The sequence below is a fragment of the Homo sapiens genome, chromosome 12, assembly GCF_000001405.40.
Source record: "Homo sapiens chromosome 12, GRCh38.p14 Primary Assembly".
NCBI lineage: Eukaryota > Metazoa > Chordata > Mammalia > Primates > Hominidae > Homo > Homo sapiens.
The window spans coordinates 128,651,077-128,673,434 of record NC_000012.12 but is presented as its reverse complement, the minus strand read 5'-3'; the positions used below and the strand labels follow the sequence as shown (position 1 = coordinate 128,673,434).

Genomic DNA, 22,358 nt, shown 5'->3' with positions numbered 1-22,358 from the left:
GGCTTAAACAACACACACACATTTATTTCTCACAGTTCCGAAGACTGGGAAGTCTGAGATCAGGATGCCAGAATTGCTGGGTTCTACTGAGAGCCCTCCTGGCTTGCGGACTGCTGCCTTCTTGCTATATCCTCACATAGTAGAGAGACAGCAAGCTCTGGTCTCTTTTCCTCTTCTTATAAGAGTACTACTGCCATCGTGGGGCTCCACCCTCATTGAAGCCTAATTACCTCCTAAAGGCCCTACCTCTAATACCATTGCATTGGGTGTTAAGGGCTTCCACATATGAATTCAGGGTGGGACACAAACATACAGCCCATGATAAAAGATGCACATTCTCGAAGGCCAGCATTCCTCTCCTGAAACCCGATCCACTACATGTGCAAGTGTCACTGGCCTCTTCTGCATAAGCCAGTGGGAACTGAAGCCCAGGCAACTGGTGCAGAAAGATGCTGATACAGTGACTGTCATTTGTCTCTGACCTCGGGGTCTTGTGTCTTCTGCCAGCATCCACAAAACTGTGACAGTTTGATTTGCCAGTTTACACTAGGGTGCAATCTCAGAGCCTTCAGAATTCTTGACAGAACTCTGAACTGCCTAAATCCAAAACCTCATGGGCCTGCTGCAGACTAGGCACTGATTAAATGTCAATTCCCTCCCCATCTTCTCTCCATGGCATTCTGAGCTGTACCCAACTAGCACTGAAAATATCATTGATCTCATCAGACCCAAGGCCACAGCCAAGCCTGGGTCCTATGGACTGTGCTCATGTACACTGAGCCTGCCTGCTCTGATGTCCTCACCCAGTTTCTGCTGACTCAAGATTTCACATTGCTTTGTCAACAGCCAGGGGTATCAACTCTGGATTCATTTCAGGAGGCAATTTTCTGTTTGAATACATTTATTTCCCTAAAGATACTGATTATAATTCCTGGAGATATTAGTAATGGACTTCCTGTCAAAATTGTCTTAAGAGTAGTTAAGGATTGCTATGTATACAGCTGTGATAAATTTTGGGTTGTTTCCCTCTTGGTTTTTGTAGGCTGAAAGGTTATTTACCTCTAGAAAAGTTATCAGTACTGGAGGTGTCTTATCAACACGTTACATTCATCAAGTGTTCTGGCTTTTAGGGGGCTTGCAAATCAGTGACAAAGGCCAGTGACCAACAAGGACCTGTGCTGTCCACTGTGGGAGCCACAAGCCACACATGGCTATGAAGCACTGGAAATGGGGCTAGTTTCGATTTCAGTGTGCTGTTAGTATAAAACACATACTAGATTTCAAAGACTTAGTGTAAAAAAAAGTAAAATATTTCATTATTAATGTTTATATAGACTACATGTAGAAATGGTAAAGTTTTAATATAATGGGTTAAACACAATGCATTATTACAATTAAATTCAACTTTTCTTAAAACTTTTTTTGAATGTGGCTATTAGAAAATTTAAAATTTCATATGTGGCTCACATTGTGTTTCCATTGGACAGTGTGATTTAGAACTTCATCCCCCTTTTCCTCTTCCTCCCATGGGCTTTGTGGTCTTTCTGTTAAAGCACTCTGTATTGAAGGCCACCACCAGGTCATATATCACTTCCGGGTAAATTAGGGAAAAAAGCCCTTTCTTGAGATACTACCTCCAACAGTCAGAAGAATCGTCATAGTATATGGATGTTGCTGGAATGTTTACTGCCACCTACTGGAATGCTGTCATGGTTGAGTGTGGACGTCGCTGTGTGATGGTGGCGCTGAGCCCAGTGGACAGTCTAGCATGGTGGTCTATTGCTTGTTCTGGGGGTGGGGTTTGCAGAGAAGTGTTTTTCCATGCCATTTATCCACCTCAACAGTTTGTAAACTTCTCTTCTACTCAGACATGGAGTTTTAAACACCAGAGAGAAGGCTGGTTGCTATCTGTCAGACTTGATTTGAGGGAAACAAAAATCACTACCCGAATGCTTTTTTTGATATTTGTTTTTTCCTGGATGTGTTTCCAGGGTTTACAGAAAAATACAGAGAGAGACAAAATGCTTCATTTCTGGCTTGGTAAAGCCCTCACATCGCCTTATTCTTTAAGCAAGCATTGTGGTGTAGCATCATGACTAATGATGGGAAACACCAGGAATTGCAGTTCTTCCTCCAAAAAACTTAAGACTCTAGAGCACACATTACTCTAGGCAAGCCGTTTCTGGGAAGAGCAAAATGCTGGATATTTTAGACTTTCTAAGCCATATGTTTTCTGTCAACTACTCAATTCTCCTGTGGTAGCCCCCAAAGCAGCTACAGGCAAAATGGAAGTGAATTTGAGTGGCTATGTCCCAATAAAACTTTATTTACAAAATAGGCAGTGACTAGGTTTGGCCCATGGCTCATGGTTTGCCAACCCCTACTCTTTAAGGGTGCTTTTAAACAGTTACCCCATCGGCCAACCCACAGCACAAATGTATTTTGTTTTTTATTTTTTTGCCCATTAAAAAAAATTAGAATTTGCTGCTAACCTTGAAAAACAAGGTTGTTGCTTTTTTTAACCAGAAATCTAGATTTTCCGTTCTTTTGGAGACATAAAATACTGAAATCCCACTACCTCATGACCACAGCTGGTTATAGCAATTTCCTTGCTGGGAAAGACAAAGAGCAGAATCTTGGCTGCTCTTCTAGAATAGGCAGAACCAATTTACCACTTCACTTATTGAAGTTACCTGCTTAGCTACAGTAGGCATTCAGAGTTTGACCCATAGTCCAAAGCACCACTGATGGTCTATCAAGGGATGAGTGGGTAAAGAGAATGTGGTGTATAAACACAATGGAAGACTGTTCAACCTTAAAAAAATAAAGAAATCCTATTATTTGTTAGAACGTGGACGAACCTACAGGACATCATGTTAAGTGAAGTAAGCCAGGCACAGAAAGACAAACACTGCACGATCTCACGTACATGTGGAATCTAGTGAAGTTGAACTGATAGGAGCAGAGATAGAATGGCAGTTACCAGGGGATGGGTAAGGGGACAGTTGTGCAGATATTGGTCAAAAGATACAAAATATCAGTTAGACAGGAGAAGGAATATGTTCAAGCAATTTTTTGGTATAATATGCTACATTTAGTTACTAATAACATATATATATATTATTTGAGATGGAGTCTCGCTCTGCCACCCAGGCTGGAGTGCAGTGGCACGATCTCAGCTCACTGCAACCTCTGCCTCATGGGTTCAAGTGATTCTCCTGCCTCAGTCTCCCAAGTACTGGGATTACAGGTGTGCACCATCACACCCAGCTAATTTTTGTATTTTTAGTAGAGATGGGGTTTCACCATGTTGGCCAGGCTAGTCTAGAACTCCTGACCTCAGGTGATCCACCCACCTCAGCCTCCTAAAGTGTAATAATATATTCTTGAAAATTGCTAAGAGAGTAGATTAAGTTCTCATCACATAAAAAAGATAAGTATGTGAGATGTGAGGTTATGCATATGTTAATTATTAGGTTGGTACAAAAGTAATTGTGGATTCTGCCATTTAAAAGTAATGGCAAGAACCATAATTACTTTTGCATTGGCCTAATAGCTCAATTTAGCCATTCCATAATGTATATGTATTTTAAAATAATATGTTGTGCATTATACAGGTATATGCACACACACAATTTTTAATTGTCAAATAAAGGAAGAAAGACAGGAATGAACCAAAAACCCTAACCAGGTTGGCATGATGTGAAAACAAAGAGATGGCAATGGACACGTTGAGTGGATCAGCTGGAAGTGTGTTGCACATAAGCCTCTGTATAGTTGAACGTCATGTATTTCAGTCTAAATGTCCCTAGCAAACGGGATGTCCAAGTGAAGTTCCCACCGGTTCCATCCAGCTGGCTGTGGAATGACTTACTTTGATAACGTCCTCGTCTGTGGACTTGCACTCCACCGACTCTGAGATGTCCATCACGGCACTGTTCTCCTCCACAGAGACCACCTTGATAGGCATGGCAACTGTCTTTCCTGTGAGTACGGCGGTGTTCAGAATTTCAGTGTCCTGCCAAAAAGAATCAAACACACTGGGTCAAGGGAGATATTCCATTCTGTTGGGAACTGGACAATTCTAGGGGGAATCTCCCAGGGTAAACACCAGGCTGTCCTTGTTTGTACAAGACACACTGTACCATTTACATACTGTACCAGGACTTGGAATAAAGGGCTATTCTTTGGAACAATTTACCAAGAATGTTTAACAGTTTACTTTTAGTTTATTTATGATCATATTTCTAGTTTTCAACAACAATCAAAAAGTATTTATTCTTTTTCTTTATTGCAGAGACCAAGTGGAAGTAATACATCAGTTAGGTTTGGTTGTAAGCAACAGAAACTAACCCTGGGTACCTTGAGCAAGCACAGTAAGTTGAATAATGCTTTCCTCTCACCTCCTGCAAAAGATATCCATGCTCTAATCTCCGGGATTTGTGAATGTTACCTTACATGGTAAAAGGGACATTGCAATTGTGATTGAATTAAGATCTTAAGATGGAAGAATTATCCTGGATTATCTAGGTGGATCCAGTCATCCTAAAGTCCTTATAAGAGGGAGCCATGAAGGTCAGAGGAGGAGGAGGAGATGTTGCAGTGGAGGCAGAGGTCAGGGTGATATGGCCATGAGCCAAGAGATGTGAACAGTCTCTAGAAGCAAGCTGGAGAAGGCAAGGAACAGATTTTCCCTGAGAGCTTCCAGAAGGAGTGCAGCCCTGCCAACATCTTAACTTTAGCCCCTTAAGACTCACTTCAGACTTCTGTCCTCCAGAAGTGTAGGATGATACATTTGTGTTAATTTGTCATCGCAGCATCAGGAAACTAACACAGATCCTTACGGGCTAGATCCTGGATTGCTCCCAGCAACAAAAGAAGAGCTGAAGAAGGTTTTGCAAAGTCCAGATCACCTTCAAGGATACTAAAAGCAGGAAATAATGGGCTGTGTCTCCCAAATAAGGTGGAATGAATGTCTTCAACCATTACTTTCTTTTTCTTTTTTACTTTATATATAAGGGAAATTTATTGGCTCATGTACCTGAAATGCCTATAGCATGGGATATGATTGTGTTCAGAGGGCCAAACAATGTCTTATATGCTGTCAATTTTCTTGACATCTTTTTTCCCCCTTCATCTCCCCTTCCCTCATCTTCAACCATTCCTATTCTTTTTTCTTTTTTTTTGATATGGGGTCTCGCTATGTTGCCCAGGCTGGTCTTGAACTCCTGGCCTCAAGTGATCCTCCCACCTTGGCCTACCAAAGTGCTGGGAACATAGGCAAGTGTCACCATGCCCAGATCATTTTAATTTTTTACTTTTCTTGTAGAGACAGGATCTTGCTATGTTGTCCAGGCTGGTCTTGAACTCCTAGCTTGAAGCGATCCTCCTGCCTCAGTCTCCCGAAGTGCTGGGATTACAGGCATGGGCCACCGTGCTTGGCACCTTCATTTTTTAAAAAATGAAGACTAAAGCAAAGCAAAGTGCCTTCCTCTGTTGCTCCATGGGAGCCCATTCCATCATAGTCAATGGGGACTTTGATTTATCCTGCTCAGACGACTTCACGCAAAACTATTAGTGTCACACCTCTCATGTATGTTGTGATCTGCCAGGTGATGACGAAAATACCTTCTGTTTGATTTTGTAGGATACTACCTGATTGCCTTTTTATAATTCTTTTCTTTATGGACAGATGAAAATGAAAAAGGGCCTTGGCTTTGGGACATCTAATGATGCCAGTTTCTCACAAAGTCCCTTTCCAGAAACACTGCTCTGGTGTGAAGCAGGAGGTGGAAAAAGATTTTCTCCGTTCTTTCTCCAGGGAAGCAATTGACACAAAAATGACCTTTTGCATTAAACAAGGGCGCAGCTAAAAGAGTTATGAGTTTTAAGTAGAGCCTCGGCCTCTCTGTGATGCTTTTGCATCAGCCAGCAGTTACCACCCTCGGCTGTGTCTTCTCCTGGGTCCGTGGGATTCCTGGAGCTGGGCTGCAATCCAGGCAGCTTGCACAATGTCTATTATGGAGGCTAAGAATACTTTAGAAATTCCCCAGGTCTATTTTCAGGTTCATTACAGGTAATGTGCTTGGAGTTCAGTCTTTACATTTTCTCTCTCAGAATGGTCTTTGGCTAATGGCTTCATTAAAGCAGTACATTCCCTCATGGATTGTGATTAGTTTTCTAACGGCTGTTGCAACTACACGCACACATGCGCACACACACACATGTTCACACACTCTACCTAACACTCCCTGTCCCTAAATTGCACTCCACCAAAATTAAGATGGGTTGGACATATATGTATATGTGTATGTATATATATCTCTATCTCTATCTCTATCTATATCTGTATCTATATATATTTTGAGACGGAGTCTTGCTCTGTCGCCCAGGCTGGAGTGCAGTGGCGCGACCTCGGCTCACTGCAAGCTCCGCCTCCCGGGTTCACGCCATTCTCCTGCCTCAGCCTCCCGAGTAGCGGGGACTACAGGCACCGGCCACCACGCCCGGCTAATTTTTTGTATTTTTAGTAGAGATGGGGTTTCACCGTGTTAGCCAGGATGGTCTCGATCTCCTGACCTCGTGATCCACCTGCCTCGGACATATATATTTTTCACTGACCAATATCAATTTCAGGAGCAGAGAATTAATAGTCATAGAAATAACAAATGATAAAAGGAAACTTTGGCCTCCAGAATAAACTGGCTGTGACATGGAGGAAGTTCCCTGTATTTAAAACCACTCTTCTGACTGGTAGTTTGGTGTCTATGAAGTGGTGGGCCCTGGAGTCTGGACTCCTGGATTCCGCTCCTTGCTTTCCCATTAACTTCCTGTGCAATCCTGATCACATATCATATCTCTTGGAATCTTTGTTTCCTCATTTTACAAATTAGCAGGGGTTGGGCTATGTCATCTATCTTTTCGACTGTTGAATCCTAGACTGTCTTAGTTCATTCAGGCTGCTATAAGAAAATAGCATAGACTGGGTAGCTTCTAAACAGCAGAAATTTGTTTCTTACAGTTCTGGAGGCTGGGAAGTCCAAGTGCAAGATTCAGTGTCTCATGAAGGCAGAGAGAAAAAAATGTGTGTGTGCCTGTGTGTGTGAGTGCCTGCGTGTTTATGGGTACATGTGCCTGTGTGTATGTGTGTGCCTGTGTTTGTGTATGAGTGCCTGTGAATGTGTGTGCCTGTGAATGTGTGTGTGCCTGTGTGTGTGGGTGCCTGTTTATGGGTACATGTGCCTGTGTGTATGTGTGTGTGTGCCTGTGTTTGTGTATGAATGCCTGTGAATGTGTGTGTGCCTGTGTGTGTGGGTGCCTGTGTGTTTATGGGTATGTGTGCCTGTGTGTGTGTGCCTGTGTGTTTGTGTATGAGTGCCTGTGTTTGTGTATGAGTGCCTGTGAATGTGCGCCTGTGAATGTGTGTGTGCCTGTGTGTGAGTGCCTGTGTGTTTACGGGTACATGTGCCCGTGTGTGTGTGTGTGCCTGTGTTTGTGTATGAGTCCCTGTGAATGTGTGTGTGCCTGTGAATGTGTGTGTGGCTGTGTGTTTATGGGTACGTGTGCCTGTGTGTATGTGTGTGTGTGTGCCTGTGTTTGTGTGAGTGCCTGTGAATGTGTGTGTGCCTGTGAATGTGTGTGTGCCTGTGTGTGTGAGTGCCTGTGTGCTTATGAGTACATGTGCCTGGGTGTATGTGTGTGCCTGTGTTTGTGTATGAGTGCCTGTGAATGTGTGTGTGCCTGTATGTGTATGTGTGTATGCCTGTGTGTTTATGGGTACATGTGCCTGGGTGTGTGTGTGTGTGTGTGTGTGCCTGTGTTTGGGTATGTGTGAGTGCCTGTGTGCATATGGGTGCATATGCCTGTGTGTGTGTGTGCGCCTGTATTTTTGCGCCTGCATTTGTGTATGTGTGAGTGCCTGTGTGCATATGGGTACCTGTGCCTCTGTGTGTGTGTGCGCCTATGTTTGTGTGTGTGTGAGTGCCTACGTGTATGGCTACATGTGCCTGTGTGTGCCTGTATTTGTGTATGTGTGAGTGCCTGTGTCTGTGTGTGTGTGCACCTGTGTTTGTGTATGTGTGTCTGTGTGCACATGGGTACATGTGCCTATTTGTGTGTGTGTGCCTGTTTGTGTATGTGTGAGTGCCTGTGTGTGCGTGTGCCTGTTTGTGTATGTGCGAGTGCCTATGTGTGTGCGAGCCTGTGTGTATAGGTATGAGTGTCTGTTTACATATGGGTGCATGTGCCTGTGTGTGTGTGTGCCTGTTTGTGTATGTGTGAGTGTGTGCATATGGGTACATGTGCCTATGTGTGTGTGAGTGCCTGTGTGTGTGCCTGTGTATGTGTGAGTGCCTGTGTTTGTGTATGTGAGAGTGCTTATGTGTGTATATGTATGAGTGTGAGTTCCTGTGTGTATATGTATGAGTGCCTGTGTGCATATGGGTGCATGTGCCTGTGTGTATGTGTGAGTGCCTGTGTGTATGATATTGATGTGGCAGGCCTACAGAGTTCTTTGCATCTGGTTGCACCTCTCAAATACCTTTTTAGTTGAGGCCAATTCACAGCAATATGCCTAGCACACTATTTATGTGTATACAATTGTTCTGTCTTCTGAGACCCACCTAAACCCCCGCGGGACCAAGAAGAACACATCATGTGCATGGCTGGCTGGCGGTGGATGCCGCTTCCCTTTATGCTGCTGCTTAGCACTGCTCGGAAGAAGGCTTACACTGCTAGCTGCCTTTCCTCTGGCCCCATCCGGCTCTGATGAGTTTAGCATCACAGAAGGCAGCCTGCTTCCTGAAAGCACACAGGTGTACAATTCCTGCCGACCCCAGTAGGTGTTAGAGACCGCTTATCAACACTGTCTCAAGGCCTCAGAACACGACAAAGGCATAACTATGACTTGGAAGCTTTTTGTATTATTAAATGTTTTTTCTCTCCTTTTACCTTGCTCTGAAGCCCTCCACCCACCTCCGTCATAAATCAGAGAACTGTTCTGTTTTGCTGAAAATAATCAATAAGGTAGGGTTCTTTAAATCATGGTCATTTCAAATTTGAAAAAAGCCAGAGGCTTCTGAGAAAACACATTTTTGTTGTTTGATTTACCCTCATAAATGTAAATTAGTTTGGCCATTTTCTAGGTGAACTATATTTTTAACTTTTAAATAAATAAGAACATGGAATTACTTCTGGAACGACTTCATGGAACACACACAGGCATGTGTGTGTGCCTGTGTGAGTGCCTGCGTGCATGCGTGTGGGTGCGTGTGCCTGTGCGCATGTGTGTGTGCCTGTGTGAGTGCCCGCGTGCGTGCGGGTGCGTGTGCCTGTGTGCGTGCGTGTGGGTGCTTGTGCCTGTATGTGTGTGTGCCTGTGAGTGCCCGCGTGCGTGCGTGTGGGTGCGTGTGCCTGTGTGTATGCGTGTGTGCCTGTGTGAGTGCCCGCGTGCGTGCGTGTGGGTGCATGTGCCTGTATGTGTGTGTGCCTGTGTGAGTGTCCGCGTGCGTGCAGGTGTGTGTGCCTGTGTGCGTGCATGTGGGTGCTTGTGCCTGTATGTGTGTGTGCCTGTGTGAGTGCCTGCGTGCGTGCATGTGGGTGGGTGTGCCTGTATGTGGGTGCATGTGCCTGTATGTGTGAGTGCCTGTGTGTGCATGATATTGATGTGGCAGGCCTACAGAGTAGGCACTCGCACATATACAAACACAAGCACACACACATACACACACGCATACATGCAGGCACACGTACCTATACATAGAAGTAATTTCATGAAGTCATTCCAGAAGTAAATCCATGTTCCTTAACACGGAAGTGTTAAAAAGACTCGGAAGTGTGAATAGACTGAAATATGTTAGGGGAGTTTGACTCACTGGCCACAGAGATGGGGGATTTGTCCCAGGAATGGGTGTAAAACGCCCCACCTCGAATATCCCCCAAGGGTTCTCCTGCAGAGTAGAAAAGAGTGAGGAAATGTATTACATCCACACAACGGAAGACTATTCAGCCACAAAAAGGAATGCATGCATGCAACAACATGGATGGATCATGAACATGTTGTGTGAGGTGAAACAAGGCCAACACAAAGGCCCCATATTACATGGTCCTACTCATACGAAATGTCCACACCAGGCAAATCCGCAGACAGAACGGCATTAGTGGTGGTCAGGCGCTGCAGGGATGGGGAAGGGAAGTGACTGGTAATGGGTACGACGTCTCCTTTTGTGGTGATGCACGTGTTCTGAAATTAGATAGGGATGATGGTTCATAACCTTGCAAATACTAAGAACCACTGACCTGTATATTTTAAAACAGTACATTTTATGGCATGAGAATTATATCTCTATAAAAAAGAAAGGAAAGAGTGTGGGATGGGGCTGGAGCCATGGAAAGGCCACATCAGGCTCAGATCCGGCTTTCGATTCTGGGCTCCCGCGTGGCCTCAGACAAGCCAATGATCTATCTCTACCCACAGCTGACTGACCCTGGACATGGGACTAAGAACAGACACATTCGTGGCTCAGAGACCAGACGTCTGCCTAGTAAAGCAACTTTGGGGGTTTAAATTTCATGAGGGTCTGGAGAAAGGGTGAGCTTAATCTAAAATGTCCCAGAGAGCAGCAAACAACCTCTCTCAATCCATGTGGCTGGGAGTCAAGAAGAGGTAGTAGTTAATAAAAAGGAAAAAAAAAGCCAAGTCACATTTGAGGAGCTCTTGGCATGTGCTAGGTGTTGCTACTATTCTCACCGCTACCCCAAACCCATGAAGCGGGTAGTTGTGTTATCCTTAGTCTATGGATGGGGAAACTGAGGCATGGAGCTGAGTGACTGACTTGTCTGGGGACATAGCCCATACATGATTCAGCCACATTTGAATGTCGAGCCCAGGGCAGGAGTATATGTTCTTGACCACAACTTCTCGGCAGGTCAAGAGCAAGGACCTGAGAGAGAATTGCCTTAAATCCTGGCTCTGCCCTTTTCTTGCTATTATTTAAATGCTCCAAGCATCAGATTCCTTGACTGTGAACTCCCAGAATAATTAGGGTTGTTGTGAAGATTAAATCAGATAATGTTTATGGATTGCCTGTCAGGGTTTGGAACAAAGTCCAAGTTGACTCAAAGGGCAGCTATTAAACATAAATGTGAAGTGTCTCGTATAAGGCAATTGGTGGCTGGAGGGAGGCCAAATTCACCCACTTCAATCTCTCTTTCTCTCTGAAAATTGGGGCTGTGCAGGGGGAGGAATAGAAAATAAAATAAAAACAAGTCAAGCACATAGCAGACATCCAAACACATTTAAAATGTATTTATGTTAGCACTTTTTGTATTCTTTTCAGATTTTTTTTCTTTTACAAAAGAGAAAACATGGCTGATAACTTTAAAATCTCCTCTGTCATTTTTCCAGTCCTGATCCTCAATTTCCCTCCCTAGTGGCAATCACTGTCAGGATTTGGCATGTATCTTTCCAGTTTGTGATTCTTATACTTTAACCAAATATCCATATTTATGTAAAGAAAATATGGTATTGTCTTTTGCTTTTATGTTTTATACAAAAGCACGTTTTACATAGTTTATGTAAATATATCATATTGTACTTTCATCAACCTGTGTTTTGTTTTTCAAAACACTCAACATTATGTTTTTATGATCTATCCCTGTTTGTATAGCTGGAGCATTTATTCCTATTTAGATCCATATTTACATACTGATTGAATTCATTTGTCTCAAAACTGACTAAATTCCATTGTGTGCCTTTTCTATATTTTACTTTTCCATTCTCTTACCCATGGAAACTTACAGTGTTTCAAATTCTTTGCCTTTGCAAATAACTGAATCCCTCCATGTGCATATGTATCCAGGGTTTTTTTTTTTTTTTAGCATCTTCTCATCCCAGAAGTGAAATTGCTGGGTTGAGAGGGTACACATTTTCCTCTTTGATCCTGCTATTTGGTGCTTCCAAGCAGTTGTCATCATACACTCTGAGCAGCAGCGTGTGAGGCCGTCCTTCCCTGAGACCCTGGCAAACCCCCATGATTACGTATCCCTTGGCCAGGTGATGGTTCCAGCTGGTCAACTAAACATTAACCTAGCTGTTGCTGTGATGGGATTTTGTAGATGTGACTAATGCTCATAATCAGCTGACTTTATTTATAAAGGAAGTTATCCTGCATAATCTGGGTGGGCCTGATCCAATTGGTTTGAAAGGCATTTAGAAGCAGAGCTGAGGCTTCCCTGAACAGGAAGAAATCTTGCCTGTGGACAGCACTTCAGTTTGTGCCCCAAAGATCCAGGCTGCCCTTCATGACAGTTTGTCCATGACACATAGCTATATCTGTCTATCTATCTAGCCTATCAATCATCTGTCTATCTATTTATGTGTCTATCATCTATCCAATCTATCTTCTATCATCTATCTAATCTGTCATCTATCTAGTCTGTCATCTATGTATTATCTATCTTACCTCTCGCTATCTAATCTATCTTCTTTCTGTCTCCTATCTGTCTATCTGTCTATCTACCTACCTACCTACCTCCCTCCTCATCTTGTTTCTCTGGTGAAACCTGCTGTTTTACCAGCCTCTTTATTTTAGATATTTTGGTGGGTAGGGTACCATTTACTTCCCTATTACTGTAATTACCGTGCCTGGCTCACGGTGGCCGTGGAGGTTCAGGGCTTGTGGACTGCAGAGACCTGAGAGCCCTAAGGCCTGGCTTTGGGCCAGTCCACGATGCCAAGGTCGTGGGCACATGGGCAAATGGGGCTTGGCAAGCCGTTTTCTTCTTTGAGGAAGCTGATCCCCATCCTTGAACTATATGCTGGGAAAGTGACTGCATAAAGTGTCTGGGAACCACAAACAACAAGTGGGAAGCCCATAGAGAAAGCAGGAATTAGCCTGCCTTACACTTTGCTATGAAAATTTGGCCCTTCTAAGTGGATCAAAGTGGACTTAAGAGGCGTTTCTAGCCGTGCAGGTTAAACTAGTTGGCCGCACATCTCAAAGGAGACCCTGCAGGAACTCCCAGTGGTTGTGCCCAGACCTTACATTCTCATTCCCAAGTTTAATTTCTGGGAAGAAACTTCTCCTATAGAACTGGCTATTTTAAAGCAAGTTATAAGTCATCCCATTTTTGAGCACCAGAATCAGAGAGGAAAGGGGTTCCTCAGCCCACCTGGACGAGGAGGAATGACTTGCCCAGGGCCACACAGCTGGACAGTGACACCATCTTCCTTTCATTTCTTTTATCCACCACACCTGCCACCTCTCTCAAGCGTGTTTTCTCTGAGGTGGAGCCGACCTTTGGTGTCGACAGCAGCATGCATTACGTGCCAGATTCTCTTTAAGCGCTTCGTGTATCCCAGCTCCCTGAACCCTTGGAGGGAGACTCTGTTCTCACCCTGATTTGAAGGGTGAAGAGACGACGTCAAGAATGCCAACTAACTCACTCAAATTCACAAAGCCAGCAGCGCGGTGGAGCTGAGATATGAACCCCAAGTGAGAGGTCCAGCCCCTGGTTCTTACTCTTTGCACAAGACAACCCTCTAGAAAACAAGCCCACCAGTGGGGGTTGTGGGAGTGGACGAGTGGCCCTGAGGGCCTGTCTCACCCTGGACTGGAGAAGCCACTGGACAGTGGGACATGGACATTTTTCATTTCTCTCCAGACCCATTCTGACATCGCTGACTCTTAAATCTATCTATCCAATCCGTCTTCAATCATCTATCCAAGGACACTTAAGGACGCTTAATCCAAGTGTCCTTCCTTCCATCTGTAGCCAGAGAAGCAGTCCATTCCTGTGAGTGCCTCCCAAATCCATGGATTTTCTTCCCTGCCACCTGTCTCTGAGGGAGGAATAACTGGGCGAATGCTCCCCCTCCACACGTACAGACGTCCACAGAGCTCAGGGTGTCTTGCTTGGTCTCCTCTGGGGGCTTGCGGAGCTGACTGCAGACCAAAAGTTTCACATTTTCCTTGAGGAAGGCAACTAATAGGGAAATCTACTATTCACTAATTCAAAGTAGATGCTGAGAACAGAGATGGCAACCATGTGCTGCTTCTCAGAATGAAGAGAAAGATGGATTGAATTTCTGTGGGGAGAGCAGGTGTCTGTAATGGCTTCACAGACGTCTTTCACATCCCATTAGATTTTGCAGACTGATGAATAAGACACAGGAGCCAATTCCTGTCCATGGCAAGTTTTTATGTAAATTTGTTAGCCAAGAATGATTTTTACATTCTCAAGGCTTTTAAAAAAAAGAAAGAAAAGAAAAACAATATGCAACAGAGACTGTGTCCTGCAAAACTGAAAATATTTACTATCTAGCCCTTTATGGAAAAACTTTGCTGATCCCTGAACAAGATCATTTTTCCAACAGGAAGGGCCCTCTTTCCTCCAAAGGCCTCTTTTAGTCTTCAAGTTTCAGGCCATTCTCTCTGGTAGAGCCATGGAGTCATCTTCCTTTTGCAGAAGCTAACTCCTGTCCTTATTGCTTTCTCCTCTTCAGTGGTTACAGCCTCTGATCCACCATGCTTCCAGTGGGACTTCAACATCAGCATGATGGCTTCCTCCATAAAAGCCTGCACCCTTTGCTCAACTTGGCATAGATTTGCATCTTGATAATTTGCATTGCATGTTTGGACCTATGAGGAATCTTGCGCTAAACCAGAGGGGCTCATGTTAAATAGGAAGGGAGATTTGAATTGGGGAGAACTTTATAAGTGGTTGATCATTTACATTTGTGATGATTTTTGTGTTACTGAAAGCATCCGGTTCCCTGTATGTGCTTTTAGCTCAAGGAAGGTGACTATAAACACTTGAATAGCAAGAGGCCCCTAAAACTGGCCTTTCTGGACTTAACCATAGCAGATAACATTACCATACTGCCTGCTCCAAAGGAAAAGTATATGAACAGGAAAAAAAAAAAGATCATGTCTTCCTCTATCTCAGCGGAAGCGCAGTTGGTTGGGGAAACATCCCAGCAGGTTAGGAGGACGCTGGAGACAGTGGGAAGGCACACCGCTCACGTGGCAGGTTCTGGGGAGATAGCTCATGTGGCAGGTTCTAGGGGGAAGAAAGGTCCAGTTTTGAAATTGGAACCCAGAAAAGAGGGTCCAGCTCTCAGCATTCAGAGGGCAGCGACCATCGTGGCTTCATGAGTTCAAACTAAAAAGGTGCCTGCCTTGTGGCCTCCATGGGAGCTGCGTCCCTGCTCCTGCCTTGTGGCCTCCATGGGAGCTGCGTCCCTGCTCCTGCCTTGTGGCCTCCATGGGAGCTGCGTCCCTGCTCCTGCCTTGTGGCCTCCATGGGAGCTGCGTCCCTGCTCCTGCCTTGTGGCCTCCATGGGAGCTGCGTCCCTGCTCCTGCCTTGAGGCCTCCATGGGAGCTGCGTCCCTGCTCCTGCCTTGTGGCCTCCATGGGAGCTGCGTCCCTGCTCCTGCCTTGTTGGAGCTTTGCTTTCCTCATCTGTGAAATGGGGATAATCCCAGTTTCCTCTAGGGTTGTAGGCAAGAGGACCTACAAAAAATCCCAGGTCAGTGCCTGGTACAGAGGTGGCCACTCCACCACCCCAACCCCATCCAACTTCATCCCAGGAAACAGAGCCCACAAACTGTGACACTATTTGAATGTCCTGATTCACCAAGTTGCTTTTGAGCTCCCTGTAGCTGCACCAGACCAATAGGTTCCATTTTTCTGTAACAGAGTTGTGAGTTGTTTTTCACTTGCCATGGACCCCCAGGTTGAAGGTCACATAGCCTGAGCATGCCTAGATGAGCCACACATGCAGACACAGAGGAACCCTGAGTGCTCAAACTGAGGTGTGGGAACTGAATTAAGAACAGGACACTGCATAATACGGTCCAGGATCCAATCAGATCGAGCCCTGGCATCACCCCATGGCAGGATCCAATCAGATTGAGCCCCGGTGTCACCCCATGGCAGGATCCAGTCAGATCATGCCTCCCTGCATCACCTCATTGCAACATCCAATCTCATCACATCTCATTACCCAATGCTTATAAAACCTGGCCTCCCTTCCTGAAGTAAAGAAAAAGAGCTTTTCTAGCTACCAAACAATGATGAAATCTGTTTGCTGGGATAATATTGAGATATTAACTTACGTTTTCCCTCTCTGTGGCTTCCCCTTTCTTCCTCCTATTCAAGCAGGGAAACCAGTTCTGTATGTATCTTTGGGGGAAGGAGGAGAAGGACAGAAAACAAAATGCCTCCCAAATTCCAGAGAGGTGAGGGAGTTCACAAGTATGACAAAATGTTTGGCCAAAATCACGGAGGAGGGGGGCGCTCCCTTCACCCATCCTTCCAGAAAGAAAGAACCAATTTTTTTCTCTTGGGAGGTAAAGAGAGAGGAGGAGTGGTCTTTGGGTTCTGAAAGGAAACACACGTCTGGTTTCTAGGAAGAGATTTTGGAGAAGACGCAGGAGAAGATGCCTGCCTGGTGTCTGTGCAGCAACACAAAGACCTTGAATCCCAGAGGTAGCCCCCAAAAGGCAGGGGCTAGGAAAATAAACTGATTAGATCTGGAGGAAATAGAGCAAGATATTGTGGCAAAAGAGGCTGCCTCTCAATATCCACTCTCTTTTTTTCTTCAGTTACTGAACCATGATGCTTTGGGAGGTGGGTTGGGAGGAGAAACTAAACTTCTCAGCCTCCCTTGCAGCTGGCTGTGACCATGTGACTGGGTTCAAACACAGTGGTTCTCAAAGTGTGGTGCCTGGGCCAGCAGAATCAGCATCCTCTGGGGACTTGTTAGAAATGCAAATTTTTGGGCTCTACCCCAGACCTACTGAATCAGAAACTCTGAAGGTTGGTGGGGCACATTTACCAGTGCTTTACCAATTCCTCCAGTGATTCTGATGTTGTTGAAGGTTGAGAACCGGTCTAGTCCAAAAGTAAACGGAAATATGCAGTACTTTAGAAAATCTCCTTAATGAGAACGAAACTCAGTAAGTGGGGCATTTCTTTCGTCCTTTTTCCCTTCCTGCTACTGGGAATATAGATATAATGGCTGGAACACCAGCAGTCACCTTGGATCATGAGGCAAACTTGGACATAAAAGCCATTTGCTAGGCTGGGCACAGTGGCTCACGTCTGTAATCCCAGCACTTTGGGAGGCCGAGGTGGACAGATCACTTGAGGTCAGGAGTTCGAGACCAGCCTGGCCAACATGGTGAAACCCTGTCTCTACTAAAAATATAAAAATTAGCCGGGTGTGGTGGCACACGCCTGTAATCCCAGCTACTAGGGAGGGTGATGGAGGAGAATCGCTTGTGCCCGGGAGGCAGAGGTTGCAGTGAGCTGAGATCCTGCCACTGCACTCCAGCCTGAGCGACAGAGCGAGACTCCTTCTCAAAAAACAAACAAACAAACAAAAAGCCATTTACTGATGGTGAGAAGGTAAGATAGGAGAAGCCTAAATCTCTGATGACTAATAGTGGTCATGGCCTTACTTATGTATGTGAAATAAACTTATTTTATGTTTCACCTAGAGGTTTTGAAGGTTTTCGGTTATTCTCAGCCAAACTTAAGGCTAACTTATGTAGATATTTCTTTTTATGCTTGAGATGGTGGACAAAGACTACTACTGGTTATACTGGAATGCGTTACAACAAATTCCGGTTTTGTACCCATGAGAAGTCAAGTCCCTGGCAATGATGCTAGATGGTGGCTTGCAGTTTGGGAATGGCAGGGAGTGGTGGTAATCCCACTGTTCTCTGTGGCTGCTGGTGGTGGGTGCCCCTGTGGAGCCAGGCTGACAGCAAGGCTGTTATAAGAGGAAGGAGAAAGCAGAGACTGACAACTCAGCCTAATTTGCAGCAATAGAAAAATTACTCCAAAAGGGCGCTTCATTTTCCCAATTCAAGGCATACTAGTTAAAATGATGCACGGGCCGCCCAGCAGCCGACTGGCGTGCTGATTAGTGAGGGCGCTTGAAGTGTGGGTTCTGGATTCAGGGCAGAGTAGTCCAGAGAAGAGCCATCTGATTAACAAGCTGACTCTGTTAGGTGCAACCAGTGATTTACATAATCAGGTGATTAAGAATACATTACACACACGCACACAAACACAGAGGCATTGCAGGGGAGGCCTCTTGCAATTCCACCCAGTAAGGTAATTTTCCCTCTAAGCAGGCCAAGTGCAGACCCCGGCTGTGCCGCACAGTGCGGTATAACAACTCCTCTCATCAGGGGAGAAAAGAGAACCCTGTTACCGCCGGCTTGCGAAGGGCAGCCCTGACGGAGCAGACCAGGCTGGACACGTTACCTGACCACGCTGCCTCCCGGCTCCCACTTCCTAATGAACCCCAAGAGTCCTGGATGATGTTTTGGTAGAATTGATTAAAAAATGCTTGAGGAGATGCCGAAAGTAAAATGCGTTGCTGATGACAACACTAACAATTCCCCTCATTTCCTCTGCGACTGCCTTAGATTCGGTAGGAGCAGGGAGACCCCGAGGTGGCAGGGCAGGGGACAGAGGAGAGAGGAGGCTTCTCAGGAAGCTCTCTCTCCTGAACATTTACAGGGAGCAAGAGAAAAGACTTTCTTCATCAATACACCGGCAGGCCCATCCATAGGGAGGCTGTTCTTAGTTACGCCTTCTCTGTCACCTCTGTTTGTCTTGACTTTGCAATTCCTTCTAGAAATCTTAGCACAGTGCAACAGTGTACCAATTAAGATCCATGTCTAAAACCAGGCAGCATCTCAGCCCAGCATTCTGTAGCAGAGTACAGCAGGGTGCGTGTGGCGCTGAGTGACAAGAGCTTCCTAGTTAGCTCGGAGATCCTGCAGGAGCCATCAATCATCAGAGCGGCTCAGAGTTATTGGGCATCTACGATGTTGTTAGGCAGGAAGCAATGCACTATTGTATACATAGTCATGATAATAACAGTAATTGATGTGTATGCCTCTGTTAGTTTTCTAAGGCTGCTGTAATGAAGTACAGCAAACGGGATGGCATACAACGACTGAAATTTATTCTCTCACTGTTCTGGAGGCCAGAACTTTGAAATCAAGTTGTGAGCAGGGCCGTGCTCCCTCTGAGGCTGCAGGGCAGGATCCTTCCCTGCCTCTTCCTAGCATCAGGGGTTTGCCTGCAACCCTGCAATTCTGGGTCTTGTGTATGTGACGCTGCAATCTCTGCCTCTGCCACCGTGGAACGCTCTCCCCGTGGCTCTATCCAAATCTCCCACCTATAGGGACACCAGTCATTGGATTAGCAGCCACCTAATGACCTCATCTTAACCCAATGGTATCTGCAAAGACCCTATTTCCAAAGAAGGTCAGATTCACAGGTACTGAGGATTAGGACTTCAGCATATCTTTTGGGGGAACAAAAGTCAACCTGCAACAATGTCTCTTTATTCTTTGCAAAGAATTTTCACATAAATCATTGCCACATTTGACATTCAACACAGCAGAGTAGAAAGGGCTGGTGTCAACACAGCAGAGTAGAAAGGGCTGGTGTCACCACAGGAGGGGAAACTGAGGCACAGAGGGCTTGGATTCCCGCCCTTCTGGCCTCCGGACAGCCAAGCCCCCCAGTGTGCTCTCCCCTTCCTGTGTCAGCCCCTCTGAGCTGATGGTGAATTGATCCAATCAGCACCATTATAGCAGTAAAAATACCAACCCTAACATGGGCCACCTCGCACCTCACCATGATTTTGAGCTCTTTTCAAGTACCAGGTGCTGTTCCAGGCATTTCTGCATGCACTGATTTATCTAGTTTCAACAGCCCAATGAGCCGGCACTTACATTCTCCCCCACTTCACAGGTTAGGAAATGGAAGATTTACAGGAAGTGTAATGAACTAGCTCAAGAACTGGCAGCTACTAAGTATGGAGGTCAGGAGGGGAGCCAGGGATGGAGCCCAGGCCGATGGAACCCTAAAGCTCATGCTCTGACCCACTACAATATCTGACACCAATATCCCTCATATATTGTAACTCAACTCAGAAAATGCAAATGCATACACTAAATATCTCAGGAAAGCTCCTTTAAAAAATAGCTTTATTGAGATTTAGTTCAAACACCATACGATGCACACATTTAAAGCATACTAACCAGTACACTCTCACTTAATCTAGCTTCAGAACACCTCCCTTATGCCAGAAGGCGACTCTAATCCCATTAGCAGGCACTCCCATCCCCCCCTCCTCCCAGCCCCCAGCAACCACTAATTGGCTTTCTGCCTCTATGGACTTACCTATTCTGGACATTTTATTTAAAGGGAATCATACAACATGTGGCCCTTTGTGCCTGGCTTCTTTCATCATATTTTCAAGGTTCGTCCACGTGGTAGCATGGATTGGTCCTTCCTTCCTTTTAATGGCCTGATAATATTCTATTATATGGATAGACTACATTTTGTATATTTCTTTCTCAATTGATGGACATTTGGGTTGTTCCCACTTTTTGGCTATTACGAGTAATGCTGCTACGAACATTTAAGTACAAGTCTTTGTGTAGATGTAGGTTTCATTTCTCTTGGGTTTACACCTAGGAGTGCATTATGACAGGTCCTTTTTAAAAGTAGGTAATTACATAGACTTTTCCCCAAGGCGAATTATCTTTCTTTAACTCTGGTGAACTGACAAAGTTAGAATAATCCCGTGGATTTATGAATCTCCTTCCTCCAAATTGGCCTGAGCACTTTTCTCCATGCTATGAAATCCACTCCTCTGCCATTATTTTTGTGGTCATTCCAGACAGCAATGGGGGCTCCAGAAGGGCTTTACCCGGGTCAGGGGCTGGGAAGTGTGGCCATGCTGGCCACCAGGCAGGCCTCCTGTCCTGGGCCCGTTTCCCGGAGCACGCTCCACTTATAGGCACGTGGAGGCATTGTCCTCTGTCTTCTGTGAATCCTGCTCCTTGTGGCTCCGAGAACTCTGTGTTCCGAGCTGTAAACGTTCTTGGATGGTGTCTCATTAATTATAGCTTATCGGCTGCCTTGCGAGTTGCATCTTAATGAGTGACCCTCATCGCTGACCCTTTATTAGCACAGGAGTTCTTTGTTGGGTCCTGCGTCTCTTCCAATTTTGTAAACACAGATCAATGGGATGTTGTGGGGCTGACGTGTCCCACTTCCCATCCCGGAGGAAGGGGAAAGCTTCCTTGCAGGTGCTCTGTGCAGCTCTGCTCCTGGCACCGACCCCGCCCCACAGCCAACAAGAAATCCCTTTGATGTGCAGACGAGGATGGGGTAAGGGTTCTCTCATTATCTAGTTATGTGGCTAGATCCTATTTCAAGAGAGTTTACTCTGCACACAGCAGCCAGGGCCAGCCTTGGGGTACCTGAAAACCCTAAGGATAGAGAGGTCAGAACACAAAGGAGAGTCATCCTTGTCGAAATGACCTGCAAGGGTCCAGGCATGTGACTTCTGGACTGTGGAGAAGGGTGCTAACTGCATTAGTCACATGGAGCTGAAAATAGAGTTAAAAACCCTTTAAAACTTCAATGAGACCAGGCTGCTGCTCTGCTCAAACGTCCCGCTGGTTTTCATCTGAGTCAGAGTGAAGCCAAAGTTCTGTGGAATTGGACCCCTTGGTTTCCTCCCTGCTTCTCCTCCACTCCATCATGTTTTCCAGCCACAGCATCTTGTTGCTATATCTTAAACATGGCAGTCTTTGCATATGCTGTTCCTTCTGCCTGGAGTGCTGTTGCCCCAGATATCCACATGGCTCCACCCTCACCTTCCTTCACCCCCCATTCCCATTCCCTGCTATGGTCTCCCTAGCTGTGATCACCTAGGAGACATTGTTTTATTTCAGCTTTGAGGCCTTCTCTGTCTCCCTCTTAAAGGGAATCTCCATGAAGAGATGTTGTGTCTCTCAGTCGCTGTTCCTCCCCCACTGCCTGGAACAGTGACTGGGCATAGTAGTTGCTTAATGAACATATAGAGCATGAAAGAAAAGGAGAAACCATTTGCACATCTTTCCTATTTGAGTTCTAAAAGCATTTTAAAGAAGGCAATTTGAGGGCACGGCGCTTTAAGACGAAGGCCTTGAATTAGAAAGAAGCAGCAGGATCTTGGCCTGCTTCCTGCAGGAGCACCATCAGGACCCTGGATGGAGTCGTTGTCTGAAGAGCCAGCCTTGGAGATGAGGCCAGGGCCCTGTGCTTGGGCTGCAGACAACTGCAGATGTGAAGAGACTCTGCAATCCAGGAATGATGGATAGCTCAGGGCAGCCTGTGTGTCAAGACCAGGAAACAAAATCTTCAAGCTGCAGCCTTGGGCTTGGGCAACAGGAGATCCAGGAGTTGTTACCCCAAAAAACTGTGAAGTGGGTAGAAACCCCAAGAAGGATGGGGCTAAATTTTGTTTCTTACTCCCTGATGGAATGGTG

At 45.5% G+C, this 22,358-nt stretch overlaps 1 protein-coding gene across 3 annotated transcripts in view, besides 2 other annotated features; it reads right to left on the bottom strand.

The window, feature by feature from the left end:
• TMEM132C (transmembrane protein 132C) overlaps nt 1–22,358 on the bottom strand; it is a 440,742-nt gene that overhangs the window by 34,477 nt on the left and 383,907 nt on the right. For all 3 annotated transcript variants that reach the window (NM_001136103.3, XM_047429886.1, NM_001387058.1), the window contains exon 5: nt 3,875–4,018. In NM_001136103.3, coding sequence (NP_001129575.2) covers nt 3,875–4,018 — 144 coding nt within the window. The remainder of the gene's footprint in view (nt 1–3,874; nt 4,019–22,358) is intronic.
• Nucleotides 8,832–9,418: an enhancer, noted in NCBI's record as "H3K27ac-H3K4me1 hESC enhancer chr12:129148562-129149148 (GRCh37/hg19 assembly coordinates)". NCBI's record gives its function as "activates a minimal SCP1, AML or CMV promoter by ChIP-STARR-seq in naive H9 embryonic stem cells {active_cell/tissue: H9 hESC(naive)}" and the evidence as "EXISTENCE:reporter gene assay evidence [ECO:0000049][PMID:30033119]".
• Nucleotides 15,484–16,683: an enhancer, noted in NCBI's record as "BRD4-independent group 4 enhancer chr12:129141297-129142496 (GRCh37/hg19 assembly coordinates)". NCBI's record gives its function as "activates an origin of replication core promoter dependent on BRD2, P300/CBP, MED14 and CDK7 cofactors, and independent of BRD4, by STARR-seq in HCT116 cells {active_cell/tissue: HCT116}" and the evidence as "EXISTENCE:reporter gene assay evidence [ECO:0000049][PMID:35650434]".